The sequence below is a fragment of the Homo sapiens genome, chromosome 5 (genome assembly GCF_000001405.40).
Source record: "Homo sapiens chromosome 5, GRCh38.p14 Primary Assembly".
NCBI lineage: Eukaryota > Metazoa > Chordata > Mammalia > Primates > Hominidae > Homo > Homo sapiens.
The window spans coordinates 139,702,574-139,723,002 of NC_000005.10; the positions used below are offsets into that span (position 1 = coordinate 139,702,574).

At 52.8% G+C, this 20,429-nt stretch overlaps 1 long non-coding RNA gene and 1 pseudogene across 1 annotated transcript, besides 5 other annotated features; one reads left to right on the top strand and one right to left on the bottom strand.

Annotated features, from left to right (window-relative positions):
• Positions 6,667-7,657: an enhancer, noted in NCBI's record as "H3K4me1 hESC enhancer chr5:139088825-139089815 (GRCh37/hg19 assembly coordinates)". NCBI's record gives its function as "activates a minimal SCP1, AML or CMV promoter by ChIP-STARR-seq in primed H9 embryonic stem cells {active_cell/tissue: H9 hESC(primed)}" and the evidence as "EXISTENCE:reporter gene assay evidence [ECO:0000049][PMID:30033119]".
• Positions 7,142-7,511: a silencer, noted in NCBI's record as "silent region_16426". NCBI's record gives its function as "represses an Ori minimal core promoter by ATAC-STARR-seq in GM12878 lymphoblastoid cells {active_cell/tissue: GM12878}" and the evidence as "EXISTENCE:reporter gene assay evidence [ECO:0000049][PMID:35858748]".
• On the top strand, positions 7,329-19,425 carry LOC124901085 (uncharacterized). Its single transcript, XR_007058963.1, has 2 exons — positions 7,329-7,401; positions 19,330-19,425. It is a non-coding gene; the product is annotated as an uncharacterized LOC124901085 (long non-coding RNA).
• Positions 7,902-7,951: an enhancer, noted in NCBI's record as "active region_23252". NCBI's record gives its function as "activates an Ori minimal core promoter by ATAC-STARR-seq in GM12878 lymphoblastoid cells {active_cell/tissue: GM12878}" and the evidence as "EXISTENCE:reporter gene assay evidence [ECO:0000049][PMID:35858748]".
• Positions 8,232-8,331: a silencer, noted in NCBI's record as "silent region_16427". NCBI's record gives its function as "represses an Ori minimal core promoter by ATAC-STARR-seq in GM12878 lymphoblastoid cells {active_cell/tissue: GM12878}" and the evidence as "EXISTENCE:reporter gene assay evidence [ECO:0000049][PMID:35858748]".
• Positions 8,822-8,901: a silencer, noted in NCBI's record as "silent region_16428". NCBI's record gives its function as "represses an Ori minimal core promoter by ATAC-STARR-seq in GM12878 lymphoblastoid cells {active_cell/tissue: GM12878}" and the evidence as "EXISTENCE:reporter gene assay evidence [ECO:0000049][PMID:35858748]".
• RNU6-236P (RNA, U6 small nuclear 236, pseudogene) lies at positions 15,412-15,517 on the bottom strand (annotated as a pseudogene).
• Positions 19,426-20,429: the final 1,004 nt, after the last annotated feature.

Consider the following 20,429-nt stretch of genomic DNA (forward strand, 5'->3'; position numbering starts at 1 on the left):
CAACATGGGAAAACCCTGTCTCTAATAAAATACAAAAATTAGCCAGTCCTTGTGGCGGGTGCCTGTAATCCCAGCTATGCCGGAGGCAGAGGCAGGAGAATTGCTTGAACCTGGGAGGCAGAGGTTGTAGTGAGCCAGGATCCTGACATTACACTCCAGCCTGGACAACAGAGCAAGACTCCATCTCAAAAAAACAAAACAAAACAAAACAAAACAATTAAAATCACTCTTCCACCTCCAGTTACTCTGTTATGTCCCCCTGTTACCTTATCCTATTTATAATTTCACAGCATTTGCCATAATGTGAAACGACTTCATTTTTACATTCATTTTCCCCCTCTAGAATGGAAACCAATGAGAACAGGGACCTTGTCTGTGCAATTTACTGCTGAAGCCCCAGTGCCTGAAAGAATGCCAGGCACAGGCCAGGCACAGTGGCTCACGCTTGTAATCCCAGCACTTTGAGAGGCCAAGGCAGGTAGATCACAAGGTCAGGAGTTCGAGACCAGCCTGGCCAACATTGTGAAACCCTGTCTCTACTAAAACTACAAAAACTAGTTGGGTATGGTGGCAGGCGCCTGTAATCCCAGCTACTTGGGAGGCTGAGGCAGAATTGCTTGAAACTGGGAGGCGGAGGTTGCAGGGAGCTGAGGTCGCACCACTGCATACTCCAGCCTGGGCAACAAGAGCAAAACTCCATCTCAAAAAAAAAAAAAAAAAAAAAAGGCTGGGTGCAGTGGCTCACACCTGTAATCACAGCACTTTGGGAGGCCAAGGCAGGTGGATCACGAGGTCAGGAGATCGAGACCATCCTGGCCAACATGGTGAAACTCCGTCTCTACTAAAAATACAAAAATTAGTTGGGCTTGGTGGCGCGTGCCTGTAATCCCAGCTACTCGGGAGGCTTAGGCAGGAGAATCGCTTGAACCAGGGAATCAGAAGTTGCAGTGAGCCGAGATCGCGCCACTGCACTCCAGCCTGGGCGACAGAGCGAGACTCCGTCTCAAAAAAAGGAAAAAAATAAACTTGGTATTATGTCCATTTTGAGGTGAGGAAACTGAGGTTTGAGGAGATTATGTGACTTTAAGTTATCGTAACTGGACTGAAGCCTGAGACTGTGTGACCCCAGAGCTGTAAGGGCTGTGGGAATGATTGTGAGGGTCTCTGCCAGCATGGCCACTCAGCTGAGCTCAGGCTGGTGAGGAGGACGCACACAAGGAGAAGACCCAGGGCCCAGGAGAGTCCACTCCATGGTAGAAGCTTCCTCTGGGAACTCAACTGAGGGCAGCAGAGGAACTGCTCCAGGGCCTGGGGACAAGACCCAGTGTGCTGTGTGTAGATGGTAGATGGAGCTGATGGTGCGCTGGGGACCTCCATGCAGGCCTGGCATTTTGCCTGCCAGGGCAGAGGTAAGGATGCAAGTGTAGGGGCAAGCAGGGGGAATCTCCATCTCCCTCTCCAGTCTGCATCTACCTTTCATTCCCCCTCCTGCCTGTCAAACTCCTGCCTCCTGGCCCTGGCATTCAGAGCCTCTCACAACCCAGCCTTGCTGCCTTTTCTCTTCTCTTCTACTGCCGTGGTCCTTGACACCCTGGAGAAGTCCCTGCCCACTGTGCTTTCAGTCATGTCTTGTCACTTTTTCCACCCATCCTTTGTGTGTATTTATTTATTTATTTATTTGTGAGACAGGGTCTCACTCTGTCACCCAGGCTGGAGTACAGTGGCATAATCAGGGTTTACTGCAACCTCGACCTTCCAGGCTCAATCCATCCTCGCACCTCGGCCTCCCAAGTAGCTGGGACCACAGATGCATGCCACCACACCCACCTAATTTTTTTTTTTTTTTTTTTGAGACGGAGTCTCGCTCTGTCATTCAGGCTGGAGTGCAGTGGCGCGATCTCAGCTCACTGCAAGCTCTGCCTCCTGGGTTCACACCATTCTCCAGCCTCAGCCTCCCGAGTGGCTGGGGCTATAGGCGCCTGCCACCACACTCGGCTAATTTTTTGTATTTTTAGTAGAGATGAGGTTTCACCGTGTTAGCCAGGATGGTCTCTATCTCCTGACCTCGTGATCCTCCCACCTCAGCCTCCCAAAGTTCTGGGATCACAGGCATGAGCCATCGCGCCCAGCCAATTTTTATATTTTTTGTAGAGATGGGCTTTTGCCTTGTTGTCCAGGCTGGTCTTGAACTCCTGGGCTCCAGTGATCCTCCTGTCTCGACCTCCCAAAGTGCTGGGATTACAGGTGCGAGCCACTGTGCCTGGCCTGTGTGTGTTTTTTAAAAATTATTTGTAGAAACAAGGTCTCAGGCCTTGGGTCTCACTGTGTTGCCCAGGCTGGTCTTGAACTCCTGGCCTCAGGTGATCGTCCCACCTCGCTCTCCCAAAGCACTGGGATTGCAAGTGTGAGCCACCATGCTGGCCCTCTAACCCATCCATTGAAGCCCAACACCTGTGCTGCCTCCTCCAGGAAGGGCTCTCAGGTTAGTGTTTGTGCAGTGGTTGTCTTCAGGTCTGAGGATCCCTGCCAGGCTGTCAGCACCCTGTGCCACCCTCAGCACCCATCACATGGCTGGCCCAAAGCCACTCAGTAAGTATCCTGTTGCCTCCCCTTATCTATGGACCCCAGGTGAACCCAGCATTCTGAGTTCCTGGGTCTCTGGTTCTTACTCAGGTACCCACTGGGTGCCTCCAAGCCTGAAATCTCCATCTGACATAGCGACAGGGGATGTGTGGGCTGCAAGATGCTGCTGCTAACCACAGTCCTCAACTGCAGACATCTCATGGCCAATTAGACCCCAAGGCACTCATGGCTTGGGAACAATGATGGCTGGATCCAATCAAGACAGGTTATTGGCCTCTGTTAACTCACATGGGTCACACCTCATCAGCCAATCACAGGAGCTCCCTCCTTCTATATTTTCATATCAGGCTCTCTTAGGCGGCTCTGACCTGGTTAAAGCTCCAGGCTGAGGCTGGGCTGTTTCCAGACTCTCCCCATTCTCCCCCCAGGATCGCAGAGCCACAGTTTCTTTTCTAGTCCTTGCTACCATCCCATTACTGGCATCTCCATTTCTTCCTGTCCCTCCCCTCTCTTTCCCCCCAGACAAAGCAGCCCAATCAGAAGGGTGTGTAGGGGTGAGCTCCTGAGACGGCAGCCTAGCCCTGTGTGAAGAGAGGCTGGGGCGTGAGGCTCCTGCTAGGTGCAGTCGAGCCAGCCTTCAGCAGTAGCAGCTGTAGCAGCAATGCCTCCTTTCCCTTCTCCTCAACCTCAGGCTCCCAGGCAGGCTCCCAGATCGGGGGTAGTTCCTGCCGCACTGCTCTGCATGTGTGTGTGCGTGCTGCCTAGGTTTCCTGCCCTGACCCACCACACTTCCCCCAGGAAGGGATGGAGGGGAGGGAGGGGCAGAGATGAGGGCAGGAGCCTTCCCATCTCCCTCACCAGCACACTGGAAGTAGACAAGCTTATGTGGAGCCTAAATGGGTCCCCCAAGAACCCTACCCCCTGGTCTGGGTCGGCAGGTGGGTGGGCTTAGGAGCCCAAGAGGGGGAATAGGGTGCCAGCGCCAAGGCCTCTGTACATTTTGATGTTAGGTGAACAGCATGCAAAGCAGATGCAAATATTATGCAAAGTAGAACTTTCTTTTTCTAGTCCACAGCTCTGAGGTTCTCTGAAATGGGCTGAAAGGGGGGCCCAGAACCCAAGGGGAGGTGTGGAGGTGAGGGCAGGTATCATCACTGCTTTGTCAAGAGGTTGCCACACTGAAGTATACCTACTGTGTACCTAGAACCCGGCTGGGCTTGATTCAGCCTCTGTCCTTGAAAATTCAGGCACACAGGGAAGTCAAGGGCAGAAGGGGCAGATCCATCTCTACAGGATGTCGGTTGAAGGCCTTTAAGAAGCATTTGTCCATTAAATGACATATGAGGCCAGATAGCAGAATGGCTAAATTCTCCTGTTCTGGCTTCAGCCAGGCCTGGGTTTGATTTCCAGCCCTACCACTTAATGGCAGATCTTGGGCAAGGCACATCACCTCTGGAAGTTTCTGTTTGTTTACTCATACATTAAGAACAATGATTGTGCTGGGTGCAGTGGCTCATGCCTGCAATTCCAGCACTTTGGGAGGCTGAGGCAGATGGATCACCTGAGGTCAGGAGTTCAAGACCAGCCTGGCCAACATGATGAAACCCCATGTCCACTAAAAATACAAAAAAATTAGCCGGGTATGGTGGCAGGAGCCTGTAATCCCAGCTACTCGGAAGACTGAGGCAGGAGAATCGCTTGAACCTGGGAGGCGGAGGTTGCAGTGAGCTGAAATCACGCCATTGCACTCCAGTCTGGGCAACAAGAGCAAAACTCCATCTCAAAAACAAACAAATAAACAAACAAACAAGAAAAACCAGCTGGGCGCGGTGGCTCATGCCTGTAGCCTGTAATCCCAGCACTTTGGGAGGCTAAGGCGGGCGGATCATGAGGTCAGGAGTTCAAGACCAGCCTGGCCAACATAGTGAAACCCCTCTCTACTAAAAATACAAAAATTACCCAGGCATGGTGGTGCATGCCTGTAATCCCAGCTACTTGGGAGGCTGAGGCAGGAGAATCACTTGAACCTGGGAGGTGGAGGTTGCAGTGAGTCGAGATCACGCCACTGCACTGCAGCCTGGGTGACAGCGCGAGACTCTTTCGGAAAAACAAAAACAAAAAATTGTACCAATCTCATGGGGTGGATGGGGTGGTTGTAAGGACTCGATGACATGTATGTGTGACATTCACGGACCAGAGCAAAGTGCCTGGCCCTGGGTAAAGTTTCCATAAATGGGAGTTGTAATTTAGGCCTCCACCCCGACCCCTCTACCTGCCCTGCTCAGCTCCTTCAGCTCCTAGAGCCTAAAATGCCATAACTAACTGCAATTCAGGAAAGAGTCTAGGCCTCTGCCCGAGGGCAGGGCCTGCATTTGCTTTTGTCTGTCCCCACCACTACCCTGGGCCCTGGAGGGTCACTCAACTGATTGAATGCGTGATAACTGAATGGTCTCAACTCTTCAGGCAGGCAGTGGGGGAGGGCTCACCTTGAGACCTTTGAGCAACTCTTACTGTAACCAGAGGATGGAGAGTTAGGGTCCTGAGATGAGGAGGATCCCAGCAGACGGTTTAGTGAACAAGGACTGGGTCGGTCTCTTCCCAGTGACCTCCACCCCCTCAAACAGCCTTCCAAACAAAGGTGTGTGAGGGGAGCAGTGGTTGATGGGAGGAGGAGCTTCTACCCTTAGCAAATGAAAACAAAGCCAGAGGTCGGGTGGAAAGGCCAGGCTGTGTGTTGAGGACTGTTCTGGTACTAAGAGGCAGGTGTGTGGGGGTGGGTGGAGTAGCAACAACCCCCACAATAACAGCCAACATCTATAGAGCACCTACTCCTCCCAGGCTCAATGCTAAACACTTCCACCTTACATCATACTCAAACCTCACAATGACAATCTGGATTATGATCCCATCCTTTTCTTTTCAAATGCTTGAGGAAATTGATCTAAATGTTTACCCAAGGTCACTCAGCTAGTAAATATCACTACTGGCATTTCAACCCTGGCTTCTTGCTCCATAGCTTTATCCTTAACCTCTTAAGCTGGGCCTCCATGCTCCCAAAGACCGACCTAGGTTCAAATCCGGCCTGTTTCAGCAAACTTCTATCACTCTACCTCACCCACACATCCAATTCATCTGCCAAAATATCTCTAAGCCAGCAACCTCTCCACCACCATCTTTCCCTCGCTATCCCAACCCCCAGCCCCTCCTCCCAGGTCTCCCTGCTTGATCCTTTCCACTGGTCTACAGGGTGGCCAGGGGGATCTTTAAAAAGTTTAAGTCAGATCTCCCAGCTTAAAACCCACTGAAGGCTGCCATGGCACTTTGCATAAACCCTGGCCCCTCAGGGGGCCTGCAAAGCCCAGCCCTATAGGCATACCCTTTGGGCTTACAAAGGCCTTCCCCTCACCTTCAAGAGGCACGTTCTTTGCAGCCTTGGAGCCTTTGCAGCCTTGGAGCCTCTGTGCCTGCTGTGCCCTCTGCCTGGCATGCTCTGCCCCCTCTCCTTTGCTTGGCTGGCTTTTCCTGGTCTTTCAGGCTCCAGCTCAGATGTCTTCTCCTCAGAGGCCTCCCCTGACGACAATAGCTCATATGGACCCCTCCCTGAAGTCAGTCTCACATGACCTACTTTAATGTCCTCATGGCTCCTCATGCTCTCTGAAGTGATCATGGTCAACTATTTGTTTACTTGAACGTGACTAGAACGCAAGTTCTGGGAGGCTGGGGACAAGACTGTGCTCTCGTGTTCCCATGGTCTAAATAGTGCCTAGCACGTAGTAGGCACTCAGTAAACATCTGAACAATATGTAGTTGGTGTGACCTGGATCAAGAAGTCCCAGCCTCAGCTTCCTTTTTCTGTTGGGCTCTGCCTTCTCTCAGCCTCCCAGGGAGGCTCTGGATGAGATCAGAGATGGCAAAACGCTCCCTCCGGGAGAGGGAGGGCACGGCGCCCGCCCGGGGATGAGGTCAGTGCAGCAGGCACCTCTCCTCAGTGCAGGAGGCAAGCAGAACCGCAAAGATCATCTTGGCCAGACCCATGACCCTGGAATCCCAGACGGGCAGGGCAGGGTAGGGCGCGCGACCTCTTCCCCTGGTGGGAAGGTCCTCCCGGCGGGGCCTCCTCTTCCCCTCCCCGGGGAGGCAGGTGGAGCTGCGTCCTCATCTTTGTTCCCATCTGGAGCGCGTTTGGCGCGGCGTGGCGGGGGCGGGGCTGCGCCCCCGCGGTGCCCGGAGAGACTGGCCCGCCCGCTTATCTGATCTGCGGCTAATTGAAACTCCCTGCTCGCGAAGGTCAGCTCGGTCCCCTGACAGCTGCCGAGCCGAGCCGGGCCGGATGGAAAACCCGGGCTGTGCAGGGCCCGGCGGGGCGCTGAGGGGAGGGGTTGTGGGGGGCTGCCTCTGCGGCAAAGTAGACAAAGGCGGCCCCTCCCTCCCTGTGCGCGCTGCTGGGGGTCGCCAGAGGTAGCGGCCTTCGCCCTCACCCTGCAGGGTGTTCCAGCCGGGGTCACATGGCCTAAGGCTACAGAGGAGGGGGGCGCCCTTAATCCCTACGTGCCCGCCCACCCCGCTCCCACGCCGGGGCCCTGTCTGGGGTCTCTGGGAGAGTCACCCCCAACTTCCTGCCCCCACCCCGCCTCCACGCCCCGGCTCTGAGACTTCCTGCCTCCCCGGCTCCGGGCAGCTCTGGCTGTGGGAAGCTGGCGGGGCGGGGGCGGCCCGATCCCCTCCCTCTGTGCACTCGACGGGGCGCTGGGGGTCCGGGAGGAAGTGTGCACGCTGGGGGGCACGGCTCAGCCCAGAAGCCGCCATCCGGTGGGTCAGGTGCGGCCTCAGCCTAGGAGGGCGGGCGGGCAGGCCTGTTGCTAATGGTGCTGGGACGGGCGTGGGGGGGCGGGGGGATGGTAGCGGGGGAGCCTCTGGGAGCCCCGTTTCCAGGGTTCCGGGTGCGGACGTGGCGAGCTCTGGAGACTGCAACCCCGCCCGCCGCGCCCCAGGCTGGCCCAGTCCCTAAGCAGCCCGCACGCGCCTCCCACTAGCCGCCTGTGCGCCTAGGCTGAGGTGCTGGGGAGCTCCCGAGGCGGAACTCCTAGCCTCCGGGCTAAGCGCGCGCCCCTATTCAAAGTCTTTAGGGCCTTGGCTTTCACAGCCAAGAAGAAATAACTCCAACCACAGATTTTCAGAACCACGTGCCAAACACCATGATAGGCGTTGAACGTATTTTGTATCAATTAGGCCTCACAACAATTCCATTTTGCTGATGAGGAAGCTGAGGCGCAGAGAGGTGGTGACTTGGCCGAAGTCACACAGCTAGTAAGTTATCGAGGCGGGGCTGGGCTCTGACTCCAAAGCCAGCGTTGTTAGCCTCGGGTGGTCGCGTCTTAGCAAGAGCTCTGCAGTTGTGCGCCAATATAGGTCGATTACCCAGGGCATCCACGAATGCAGAGAGCCCCTTGGCGGCGTCTTGCCGCACGTGTTCTTGTCTTGGGGTTGGGCACGTGTTTCGTGGTGCAGTCCCGCGTGTTAGAGCCCGGGGACAGAGGTATAGCCTAGCGCACTGGTGCCCAGGTGCGCCATTCGCGGTTGGGACCTGGCAGAGTCATATGGCTGGGGCCTGAGCCGCGAGCAGGGCGGAGCGGGGGCGGAGAACTCGGAGCTGAGTCCACGCGGGCCGCGGCGCCTGGGAGGCCGCAATCCCGGCGCCTGCAGCCGGCGAGGCGCGGGGTGACGCGCGGGGGCCCAGCTACCGTGACCTCCTCCGCGGTTGCCATGGAGACCGTGCACTATAAATAAAAAAAAAAAAAAAAAAGGAGGAGGAATTTCAAACCCGTTTTCTACGGCGCTTGGCGGGAGGGGGGAGGAAAGCTCTCTTTGAATCGAGTTTCCCATTTCACCTTCCCAGGCGGCGGGAGCGCTTCCCCCGCAGCCCAGCCGGGAAATTGCCGCCCCTCACGCCGCGTGGCGCCCCCTGAGGAAGCTAATTAGCGCAGCCCAGGGAGCTGGAGACAGGGGGACAGAGCCCCGGGGGGCCAGGACCCGCCTCTTTTGTGTGGGGGGGAAGCGCCTACAAATTGCCCCCCATCTCTCCAGGCGCGCGCAGCCCAGCGCGGGCCGGGGCACCGGGCGCAGGCGGGAGGTCGCATCTGCAGCTTTGGCGCAATGAATCAGGCGCGGCCGCCGCCGCCGCCGCCGCCGCCGAGCGCGTCTGGCATCCGGAGTCTCCCGGGATCGAAAATAATTTGGGCAAAGCGGTGGGAGGTGTGTGCGCGCGCGCTCCGAGGGGAGGGCGGGGGAGCAGGCCGGGCGGGGTGCGCGGGGCGGGGGGAGGTGCCATCCGACAGCCCCGCTGTGGTGAGAACAGAGTTGACACTTCTTTCCTTTCCACTTACTGCGGCAAGTACTGCGAGGAAGCTTAACCCTCTCGCTACTTGGAGGGTTAGAGGCGCTGGGAGCGCCCTCATGAGGGCGCGCCGTAGGGGTGGGTTCCAGGTGTGCAGACTCCTTTGGGGTGGGCTATTGTAGCGGGCTGGAGTTAGCCTTCTAGCTCCTCAGACGAGCGCTCCTACCCGACATTCCTCAAGGCATCCTTCTGGGGCTTTCTTAATCCTTCCGTTTGCCTTCCCTGCATCTGGCTAGTGTCAGCGCTATGGCCTCAGTTTCCTCACCTATACAAGAGGGTGGGGGTTCTATAGCAGCTTCCCTGTCGGTCTGGTGACCCTGGTTTCGTGTCGCTCTCTCTGGCTTGATCCCTGGGCCTGGCAGGGGTGAGCCGGTTAGGGCAGCCGGGGGTGCAGGAGTCAGAACCTGACCCTCCTTGTCTCCCGCCAGCGCTCTGGGCGCCGTTCATCAAAATGGCCGGGTTCCTGTTTTTGCCTCTGAAGGCAGAAATGTCACTGCCGCTGCATTAAGCACGCTCGGCGGGAACTCGGTTTGGAGCGAGGAGCTGGCGCTCAGCCCTGCCAAGCTGCCTGCCGCAGGGGGGTGGGGATGGGCTGGCTGGCCAGCCGGCCTGGCTGGGGTCAGTCTTTGTCTACGAGGGGCTCCCACCTTCCTGTCGCTCTAGCCCGACATGGCCCACTCCCCTAAACCGTGCTGGTTGCTCCCACCCCACTCAAGTTTGGCGGGGGTCGGGGGAGGCGGGGGAGGGATTAAAGGGGAGGATCTGTGCCCCTCTGGCTCAGGGATAGCAGGGAGGTGATTGGGCAGAACTCATTTCGTTTTCCCCACCCCCATAATTGGCAACACCTCTGGAATTCATGGATCGTCTCCCCATTAATGTTGCCCATTTGATGAGGAAGGAATGGTAGCCAGGCCTCAGGGCATCCTCAGTCTTCTGACCTGAAGTTTCCCCAGAAGGGCTTGGGGGAGAGTGTGCATTTCACCTTTTCCTAGCTTCTTTCTGGCCAAGGGATCCCACCACCCCAGGAATTCTCAAATCCTGGTGCACAGCAGACCACTTGCCCTTGTGAGCACGCAGATGTGAGGAGGAGGGGGCAGGCCAGTGTGGAGAGTCTGATTTAGTGGGTCTGGAGTGGTCCTGTCATCTGCACACCTCACGAGACCCGAGGGAAGGCTGCCACCCTCACTGAGAGGCATATTGGGAGTCCCACAGAAATCGGAGGTGATGGAGTCTAGCAAGTCACTGAACAATGGGAGATTGAGAGAGGGATCACTCAGTAAGGTAGGAACTTGGTGGTTGAGAGTGTGGGTTCTGGACTCAGGAGGACCAAGCTTAAATCCTGGCTCTGCCACTAATTGACTGCATGCTGGAGGGCAGATGACCCAAACTGAGCCTTGGTTTCCTCAATTGTAAAATGGGGGTAACACTGATGGTCCCTAACCCCACCAAAACAATGTGTGGCTTCTATGGGACAGTGCATGGAAAGTGCTGAGTGTAGGTCCAGGTACTTAGTAACTGCATGATATATGTGAGCCTCTGTCGTCATTGTCATCACTATTAAAACTATTGGAACTCAGATTTGTAGTTCAGACTTTAGTTTTGGGGTAGAGGAGAGTCTGGCCCAGATGTCTCTGGTTCTCCAAGTCTTGTCCTTTAGGGGTCTACCAGGTCCTGGGCAGGGAAGAGTGAGAGTGGGGTAGGGGTCAGTCCCCTGGGTGTGGTCTCATCTGTGGGACTCCACTCCCTACCCCAAGCCCCAGTGCCTTAGGTCTCTTTCACCCTTGGGTGTCCCCTCACAGCTGCCACTTGGAGCTACAGATGCCCACTGGGCACTGGCCTGGCTAGTACTTGAGGGCTTGCCTCTCCTAGACCCATATCCAGCCTTACTTCTCTATGAAGCATCAGGTTCTGTGATGGTGGTACAAGTGCCCGGGTAAATTAGGCCCCTGAACCCTGGGTGGTGGGGGACAGGGAGTGTGATGTTGAGCATGTGGGGTGCAGGAATAGGACACCCAAATTGGAGCAGCCTTTGGAATGTGGAATCCCACTTCCCTCTTTGGAAAGATAGGTTGAGGGGAGCTGAGTGAGGACATAGTACTAATGTGTGCCTGGAATCTAGGGCTGATGTCTGTTTCATTCAGGATATTTGGGACTGCTGGTTTCAGAATACAGGAAGGACTAACTGAAAACCAAGACTATGCACTGGGGAGGATCCTGGGGCAGATGCCTTGGCATGGGAGCATTCTTTTTTCTTTTTCTTTTTCTTTTTCTTTTTTTTTTTTTTTTGAGACAGAGTCTCACTCTGTCACCCAGGCTGGAGTGCAATGGTGTGATCTCGGCTCACTGAAACTTCCACTTCCTGGGTTCAAGAGATTCTCCTGTCTCAGCCTCCCGAGTAGCTGGGATTACAGGCGCACGCCACCATGCCTGGCTAATATTTTGTATTTTAGTAGAGACGGGGTTTCACCGTGTTGTCCAGGCTGGTCTTGAACTCCTGAGCTGGGGCAGTCCACCCACCTCGGCCTCCCAAAGTACTAGGATTACAGGCGTGAGCCACCGCGCCCGGCCTGGCATGGGAGCATTCTAACTTGACTTGGGGAAGGGGTGTCTGTCCACTTGAGGCTGCCAGGTGGCTGAGGCTAAGATGACCTCATAGAGCTCCTTCTTGGACTGTAGGCAGCAGAGGGCACCAGCTTTGGACCCTACTCTTCTCACGCGTGCTTGCACATCTGCCCATGCTCAGTCACACTGACCCAGATTCATACTGGCCCATATGTTCTCATGCCCCCACATGCATATTCATGTACATGCTAACGTACATGTGCACATATGCTATACCACCACATGTACAACACACGTGTATGCTTATGCATGCACAGGTACACACAGGTACACACTTGGATATCCAGATGCACACATACTAACTTGCACATGGATACCCTGATGCACCCATGCATACATTAACACCATGTACACACACACAGTAACAAATGCACACACATGGGCAAACCCACAGCCATTTGCTCTTCCATCAGCGAATTCGTGTGTATGTAAACTGTATCTCCCGTGAGAATAGGGCTATCTTTGTTTATTGTCAAGTCCCCCAAGATAAGAGAAGTCTGTTTAATCTCAAGGCTCACATGCTTGGTACTTGGGAGGTATACAATACAGTATTGTCTGGAATATGTGAGTAATTGTATAAGTGTATATGGAAGTGAGTAACCTATGGTGAATAATAACCATAATAGTAAATGCCACCCCCATTTATTGAGTAGGTACTATGTGCTACCAGTACCATCTCATCTCAGCCCCATATCAACCTATGAGGCAAGTACTTTGTTTTTTTTTTTTTTATTTTTTGAGATGAAGTCTTACTCTGTCGCCAGGCTGGAGTGCAGTGGCGCGATCTCAGCTCGCTGCAACCTCCACCTCCCAGGTTCAAGAGATTCTCCTGCCTCAGCCTCCCAAGTAGCTGGGATTACAGGCACGCATCACCATGCCCAGCTAATTTGTATTTTAGTAGAGATGGGGTTTCACCATGTTGGCCAAGACGGTCTCAATCTCCTGACCTCGTGATCCACCCGCCTCTGCCTCCCAAAGTGCTGGGATTACAGGCATGAGCCACCGTGCCCAGCTGAGGCAAGTACTCTTATAATTTCTGCTTAGGCGTTTGGGAACTGAGGCTACAAGAAACAGTCATTACCTGTATTGGCTTGCTAGGGCTCCCGTAACAAAATACCACAGACTGGGTGGCTTACAGTTCTGGAAAGCAGATGTCCAAAATCAGGGTCTTGGGAGCACCCTTCTGAGGGCTGTGAAGGAAGGATCTGTTCAGGCCTCTTTCCTTGGCTTGTAGATGGCCACCTTCTCCCTGCGTCTCTTCACCTTGTCTAACCTCTGTGTGTATCTGTCCAAACTACCCCTGCTTATAAGGACACCAGTCATATTGATTAGGGCCCACCCCAAAGACCTTTTTTTTTTTTTTTTTTTGAGATGGGGTCTCGCTATGTTGCTGAGGCTGGAGTGCAATGGTGCGATCTCGGCACACTGCAACCTCCATCTCCTGGGTTCAAGCAATTCTCCTGCCTCAGCCTCCTGAGTAGCTGGGATTACACGCTCCTACCACCATGCCAGGATAATTTTTGTATTTTTAGTAGAGACAGGCTTTCACCATGTTGGCCAGGCTGGTCTCGAACTCCTGATCTCAGGTGATCCACCCGCCTTGGCCTCCCAAAGTGCTGGGATTACAGGCATGAGCCACTGGGCCCAGCCTTCTTTTTTTCTTTTTTTGAAACGGAGTTTCACTGTTATTGCCCAGGCTGGAGTGCAGTAGTGCAATATTGACTCACTACAACCTCCACCTCCTGGGTTCAAGCGATTCTCCTGCCTCAGCCTCTTGAGTAGCTGGGATTACAGGCATGTGCCACCATGCCTGGGTAATTTTGTATTTTTAGTAGAGATGGGGTTTCACCATGTTGGTCAGGCTGGTCTCAAACTCCTGACCTCAGGTGATACACCCGTCTCAGCCTCCCAAAGTGCTGGGATTACAGGTGTGAGCCACTGTGCCTGGCCAAAGACCTCATTTTAACTTGAATTTCTCCGTAGAGACTCTATTCCCAAGTAAGGTCACATTCTGAGATACTGAAGGCTTATTAAGGACTTTAACTTATGAATTTTTGGAGGTACCCAATTCAGCCCATAACACTACCTAAGTTTGCACAGCTAGGAAGTAGTGTAACCGGGATTTGATCCCGAGTCTGGAATGCCAGTGTCCATGGTATCACTCTACTAAGTGGTGCAGAGTTTGGTGTGTGTGTGTGTGTGTGTGTGTGTCCTGGTGGTTGCTATCTGATGCTATTATTTCCCGCTAGCAGGTGGGCATCTAGAGCCTGCTTGCATGAAGGAGTTGGCCCCTATTCACCCTGGCTTGCTGGTGCGCTGGAAGCTTTCATGCTTCTTCTGTCATGGCATGGGCACCCAGAACCATCTCCCAGGGCTGTGGTGGTCAATGCTGCCCAGCCAACACTGATAGGAGTGCCTAGAGGGGGAAATGGGGGGCCAGGGAGCTGCTGACTCCCACCTCCCCCCACCACTAGCCCCCATCTTCTCCAATGCTGCAGCCTCATTTCAAAGGCTTAGCCTATTCAGGTGGGAAGCTGGAGCCATTTTGGAGGTGGGTAGGGGCAGTCACGAGGCCTTCCTGCATCAATCAACTGGAGCAGCTAAGACCAGGCGGGCCTGTGCTGACCTTTGTCCATAGCCTGAACCTCTCCTTGTGCCACACGGGAGGCAGGGGGGCTGGACCTCACCCTTCTTGCTCCTCTGAGCTTAGCTGGAGGCCTATAAAAGAGCCCTGGCTAAGGAGGGAGACAAAACACCTAGTTTGATGGGGAGACACAGCCTCAGTTCTAAGAGGAGCACAGGCTTGGGAGGGAAGGCCTCTGCCTTCAGGAAGTTTTCAGTCTGAAAAGTCCCAGGCTCTCTAAGCCTCACTTTGCTCATCCAGGAAGTGGGGATGACAGTGTAGTCAGCTGTGAGGGTTCCAGAAGTTATGTTGTGGAAGGACCAGGGACCAGGATCAACATGGATATCTTAAACCATGCATAGCCACAGCATTCAGGGGGATGGTGATGATGATGATGATGATGATGATGATTATTATTATTATTATTATTATTATTATGGGTAATATTTACTGGGCACTTACTAGACCTCAAGTCAAATGCTAAGTGCATGCTTTACCCAATTAACTCAGTTAATCCTTTTTTTTTCTTTTCCTGAGATGGAGTCTAACTCTGTTGCCCAGGCTGGCGTGCAGTGGTGTGAGCTCGACTCACGGTGACCTCCCCCATCAAGTGATTCTCAAGTGGTTCAAGTGATTCTCCCCGCTCAACCTCCAGAGTAGCTGGGACTACAGACATGCGCCACCACACCTGGCTAATTTTTTTTTTTTTTTTTTTTTTTTAGACAAAGTCTCGGTTTGTTGCCCAGACTGGAGTGCAGTGGTGCAATCTTGGCTCACTGCAAACCCACCTCCCGGGTTCAAACGATTCTCCTGCCTCAGCCTCCCAAGTAGCTGGGACTGCAGGCACGTGCCACCATGCCTGGTTAATTTTTGTACTTTTAGTAGAGATGGGGTTTCGCCATGTTGGCCAGGCTGGTCTCTAACTCCTGACCTCAAGTGATCCTCCCACCTTGGCCTCCCAAAGTGCTGGGATTACAGGTGTGAGCCACCGCGCCTGGCGTAAGTTTTGTATTTTTAGTAGAGATGGGGTTTCACCATGTTGGTCAGGCTGGTCTCAAACTCCTGAGCGCAGGTGATCTGTTCTCCTTGGCCTCCCAAAGTGCTGGGATTACAGGCATGAGGCACTGTGCCTGGCCTTAATTGTTCTAAGAATTCTGGGAGGCAACTTTCATTATCATTGCCATTTAAAAAAAATATGGAATGCTTTATGAATTTGCATGTCATCCTTGCACAGGGTCATGCTAATATTCTCTATGTCATTCCAATTTTAGTGTATGTGCTATTGAAGCAAGCATTATCATTGTCATTTTATAAATGAAGAAACAGCCAGGCATGGTGGCTCACCCCTGTAATCTCAACACTTTGGGAGGCTGAGGCGGGTGGATAACTTGAGCTCAGGAGTTCAAGACCAGCCTGAACAACATGGTTGATATGATTTGGCTGTGTCCCCACCCAAATCTCAACTTGAATTGTATCTCCCATAATTCCCATGTGTTGTGGGAGGGATCCAGGGGGAGGTAATTGAATCATGGGGGCTGGTCTTTCCCGTGCTATTTTTGTGATAGTGAATAAGTATCATGAGATCTGATGGATTTATCAGGGGTTTCTGTTTTTGCTTCTTCCTCATCTTTCTCTTGCTGCTACCATGTAAGAAGTGCCTTTCACCTCTCACCATGATTCTGAGGCCTCCCCAGCCATGTGGAACTATAAGTTCAATGAAACCTTTTTTTATTCCCAGTTTCGGGTATGTCTTTATCAACAGTATGAAAACGGACTGATACAGTAAATTGGTACCAGGAGTGGGGTGCTGCTGAAAAGATACCCAAAAAAGTGGAAGCAACTTTGGAACTGGGTAACAGGCAGAGGTTGGAACAGTTTGGAGGGCTCAGAAGAAGACAGGAAAATGAGGGAATGTTTGGAACTTCCTAGAAACTTGTCAAATGGCTTTGCCCAAAATGCTGATAATGATATGGACAATAAGGTCCAGGTTGAGGTGGTCTCAGATGGAGATGAGGAACTCGTTGGGAACTGGAGTAAAGGTGACTCTTGTTATTTATTTATTTTTTTAATTTATTTTTTTTTGAGACAGAGTCTTGCTCTGTCACCCAGGCTAGAGTGCAATGGCACAATCTGGGCTTACTGCAACCTCCGCCTTCCAGGTTCAAGCGATTCTCCTGCCTCAGTCTCCCAAGTAGCTGGGATTATAGGTGCCTGCCATCATGCCCAGCTAATTTTTGTATTTTTAGTAGAGATGGAGTTTTGCCCTGTTGGCCAGGCTGGTCTCGAACTCCTGATCTCAGGTGATCTGCCTGCCTTGGCCTCCCAAAGTGCTGGGATTACAGGCGTGAGCCACCACACCTGACTTTTTTTTTTTTTGAGATGGAGTCTCGCTCTGTCACCCAGGCTGGAGTGCAGTGGTGCAATCTTGGCTCACTGCAAGCTCTGCCTCCTGGGTTCATGCCATTCTGCGTCAGCCTCCCGAGTAGCTGGGACTATAGGCGCCCGCCACCACGTTCGGCTAATTTTTTGTATTTTCAGTAGAGACAGGGTTTCGTGTTAGCCAGGATGGTCTTGATCTCCTGACCTCGTGATCCACCCACCTCAGCTTCCCAGAGTGCTGGGATTACAGGTGTGAGCTACTGCTCACAGACTTTTTTTTTTTTTTTTTTTTTTTTTTTTTTTTTGAGACAGAGTCTCGCTCTGTCACCAGGCTAGAGTGCAGTGGCACAATCTTGGCTCACTGCAACCTCTCTCTGCCTCCTGGGTTCAAGCGATTCCCCTGCCTCAGCCTTCCGAGTAGCTAGGATTATAGGCACATGCCATCACGCCCAGCTAATTTTTGTATTTTTAGTAGAGACAGGGTTTTACCATGTTGGCCAGGATGGGCTCAATCTCCTCACCTTGTGATCTGCCCGCCTTGGCCTCCCAAAGTGCTGGGATTGCAGGCTTGAGTCACTGCACCTGGCCTCTTGTTATGTTTTAGCAAAGAGACTGGTGACATTTTGCCTCTGCCCTAGAGATTTATGGAACTTTGAACTTGAGAAAGATGATTTAGGGTATTTGGTGGAAGACATTTCTAAGCAGCAAAGCATTCAAGAGGTGATTTGGGTGCTGTTAAAGGCATTCAGTTTTATAAGGGAAGCAGAGCATAAAAGTTTGGAAAATTTGCAGCCTGACTATGCGATAGAAAAGAAAAACCCATTTTCTGGGGAGAAATTCAGGCTGGCTGCAGAAATTTGCATAAGTAGTAAGGAGCCTAATGTTAATCCCCAAGACCATCGGGAAAACGTCTCCAGGCCATGTCAGAGACCTTCATGGCAGCCTCTCCCATCACAGGCCTGGAGGCCCAGGAGGAAAAAGTGGTTTCATGGGCCAGAGGCAGGGTCTCCATACTGTGTGCAGCCTAGGGATTTGATGCCCTGTGTTCCAGCTGCTCCAGCCATGGCTGAAAGGGGCCAATATACAGCATGGACTTTGGCTTCAGAGGGTGGAAGCCCCAAGCCTTGGCAGGTTCCATGTGATGTTGAGCTTGCAGGTGCACAGAAGTCAAGAACTGAGGTTTTGGAACCTCCACCTAGATTTCAGAAGATGTATGGAAACTCCTGGATGCCCAGGCAAAAGTTTGCTGCAGGGGCAGGGCTGTCATGGAGGACCTCTGCTAGGGCAGTGTGGAAGGGAAATGTGGGGTTGGAGCCCCCACACAGCTGGGGGACTGCCTAGTGGAGTTGTGAGAAGATGGCCACTGTCCTCCAGACCCCAGAATGGTAGATCCACCAACAGCTTGCACCATGCACCTGGAAAAGCTGCAGACACTCAACGCCAGCCCGTGAAAGCAGCCAGGAGGGAGGCTGTACCCTGCAAAATGACAGGGGTAGAGCTGCCCAAGACCATGGGAACCTACCTCTTGCATCAGCGTGACCTGGATGTGAGACCTGGAGTCAAAGGAGATCATTTTGGAGCTTTAAAATTTGACTGCCCCGCTGGATTTTGAACTTGCATGGGGCCTGTAGCCCCTTTGTTTTGGCCAATTTCTCCCATTTAGAATGGCTGTATTTACCCAATACCTGTATCCCCATTGTATCTAGGAAGTAACTACCTTGCTTTTGTTTTGTTTTGTTTTGTTTTGTTTTTTGAGACAGAGTCTCACTTTGTTGCCCAGACTGGAGTGCAGTGGCATGATCTTGGCTCACTGCAACGTCTGCCTCCCAGGTTCAAGCAATTCTCCTGCCTCAGCCTCCTGAGTAACTGGGACTGCAGGCGTGTGCCACCACACTCCACTGATTTTTTATTTTTAGTAGAGATGGGATTTCACCATATTGGCCAGACTGGTCTCGAACTCCTGACCTCAGGTGATCCACCCGCCTTGGCCTCCCAAGATGCTGGGATTACAAGCGTGAGCCACCGCACCTGGCTTTTTTTTTTTTTTTTTTTTTTAAGACAGAGTCTCACTCTGTCGCTCAGGCTGGAGTGTAGTGGTGTGATTTCAGCTCACTGCAGCCTCCACCTCCCGGGTTCAAGTGATTCTCCTGTCTCAGCCTCCTGAGTAGCTGGGACTACAGGCGCATGCCACCACGCCCAGTTAATTTTGTATTTTTAGTAGAGGCAGGGTTTCACCGTGTTGGCCAGGCTGGTCTCAAATTCCTGACTTCAAATGACCCACCTACCCCGGCCTCCCAAAGTGCTGTGATTACAGGTGTGAGCCACTGCACCCAGCCACTTGTTTTTGATTTTACAGGCTCATAGGTGGAAGGGACTTGCCTTGTCTCAGATAAGACTTTGGACTGTGGACTTTTGGGTTAATGGTGAAATGAGTTAAGACTTTAGGGGAGTGTTGGGAAGGCATGATTGGTTTTGAAATGTGAGGACATGAGATTTGGGGGAGCCAGGGTCGGAATCATATGGTTTGGCTGTGTCCCCACCCAAATCTCAACTTGAATTGTATCTCCCATAATTCCCACTTGTTGTGGGAGGGACCCAGGGGGAGGTAATTAAATCATGGGGTCCGGTCTTTCTGTGCTATTCTTGTGATAGTGAATAAGTCTCATAAGATCTGATGGGTTTATCAGGGGTCTCCACTTTTGCTTATTCCTCATTTTTCTCTTGCCAGCATCACGTAAGAAGTGCTTTTCGCCTCCCGCCATGATTCTGAGGTCTCCCCAGCCATGTGGAACTGTAAGTCCAATTAAACCTGTTTTTGTTCCCAGTTTTGGGTATGTCTTTTTTGTTTGTTTGTTTTTTTGAGACGGAGTCTCTCTCTGTCACCCAGGCTGGAATGCAGTGGTGCAATCTTGGCTCACTGCAAGCCCCACTTTCTGGGTTCATGCCATTCTCCTGCCTCAGCCTCCCGAGTAGCTGGGACTACAGGTGCCCGCCACCATGCCCAGCTTATTTTTTGTATTTTTAGTAGAGACGGGGTTTCACCATGTTAGCCAGGATGGTCTCAATCTCCTGACCTCGTGATCCACCTGCCGCGGCCTCCCAAAGTGCTGGGATTACAGGCGTGAGTCACCGTGCCCGGGCAGTTTCAGGTATGTCTTTATCAGCCATGTGAAAATGGACTAATACAATGGGGAAACCTTGTCTCTACAAAAAATACCAAAATTAGCCAGGCGTGGTGGTACACGCCTGTAGTCCCAGCTACTAGGGAGGCTGAGGTGAGAGGATCGCTGGAGCTCAGGAGGTGAAGGCTTCAGTGAGCTGTGAGTGTGCCACCACTCCAGGCTGGGTGATGACATGAGGCCCTGTCTCAAAAATAAATAAGTATATGAAGAAACAGATCCACTGAGATGGACTTGCCCAGTGTCACACAGCTGGAGAGTGAGAGAGTGGAGGTTTGACCCTGCTCTGAAGATTTCACTGGCTGGGTGCAGTGGCTCACGCCTGTAATCTTAGCACTTTGGGAGGCCAAAGCAGAAGGGTAGTTTGAGCCTAGGAGTTCAAGACCAGCCTGGGAGACCCTGTCTTTACAAAAATTACAAAAATTAGCTGGGCATGGTAGCAGTCACCTGTAGTCCCAGCTACTTGTGAGGCTGAGGCTGGAGGAGCTCTTGAGTCTGGGAGGTCCAGGCTGCAGTGAGCTATGATTGTGCCACTGCCCTCCAGCCAGGGTGATAGTGACACCTTGTCTCTAAAGAAAAAAAAAAGGTTTCACAGTAGGCCCTGCAGTTGTGTGAAGACAGGGATCTGAGGGTGGGGGCCTAGGAGTAA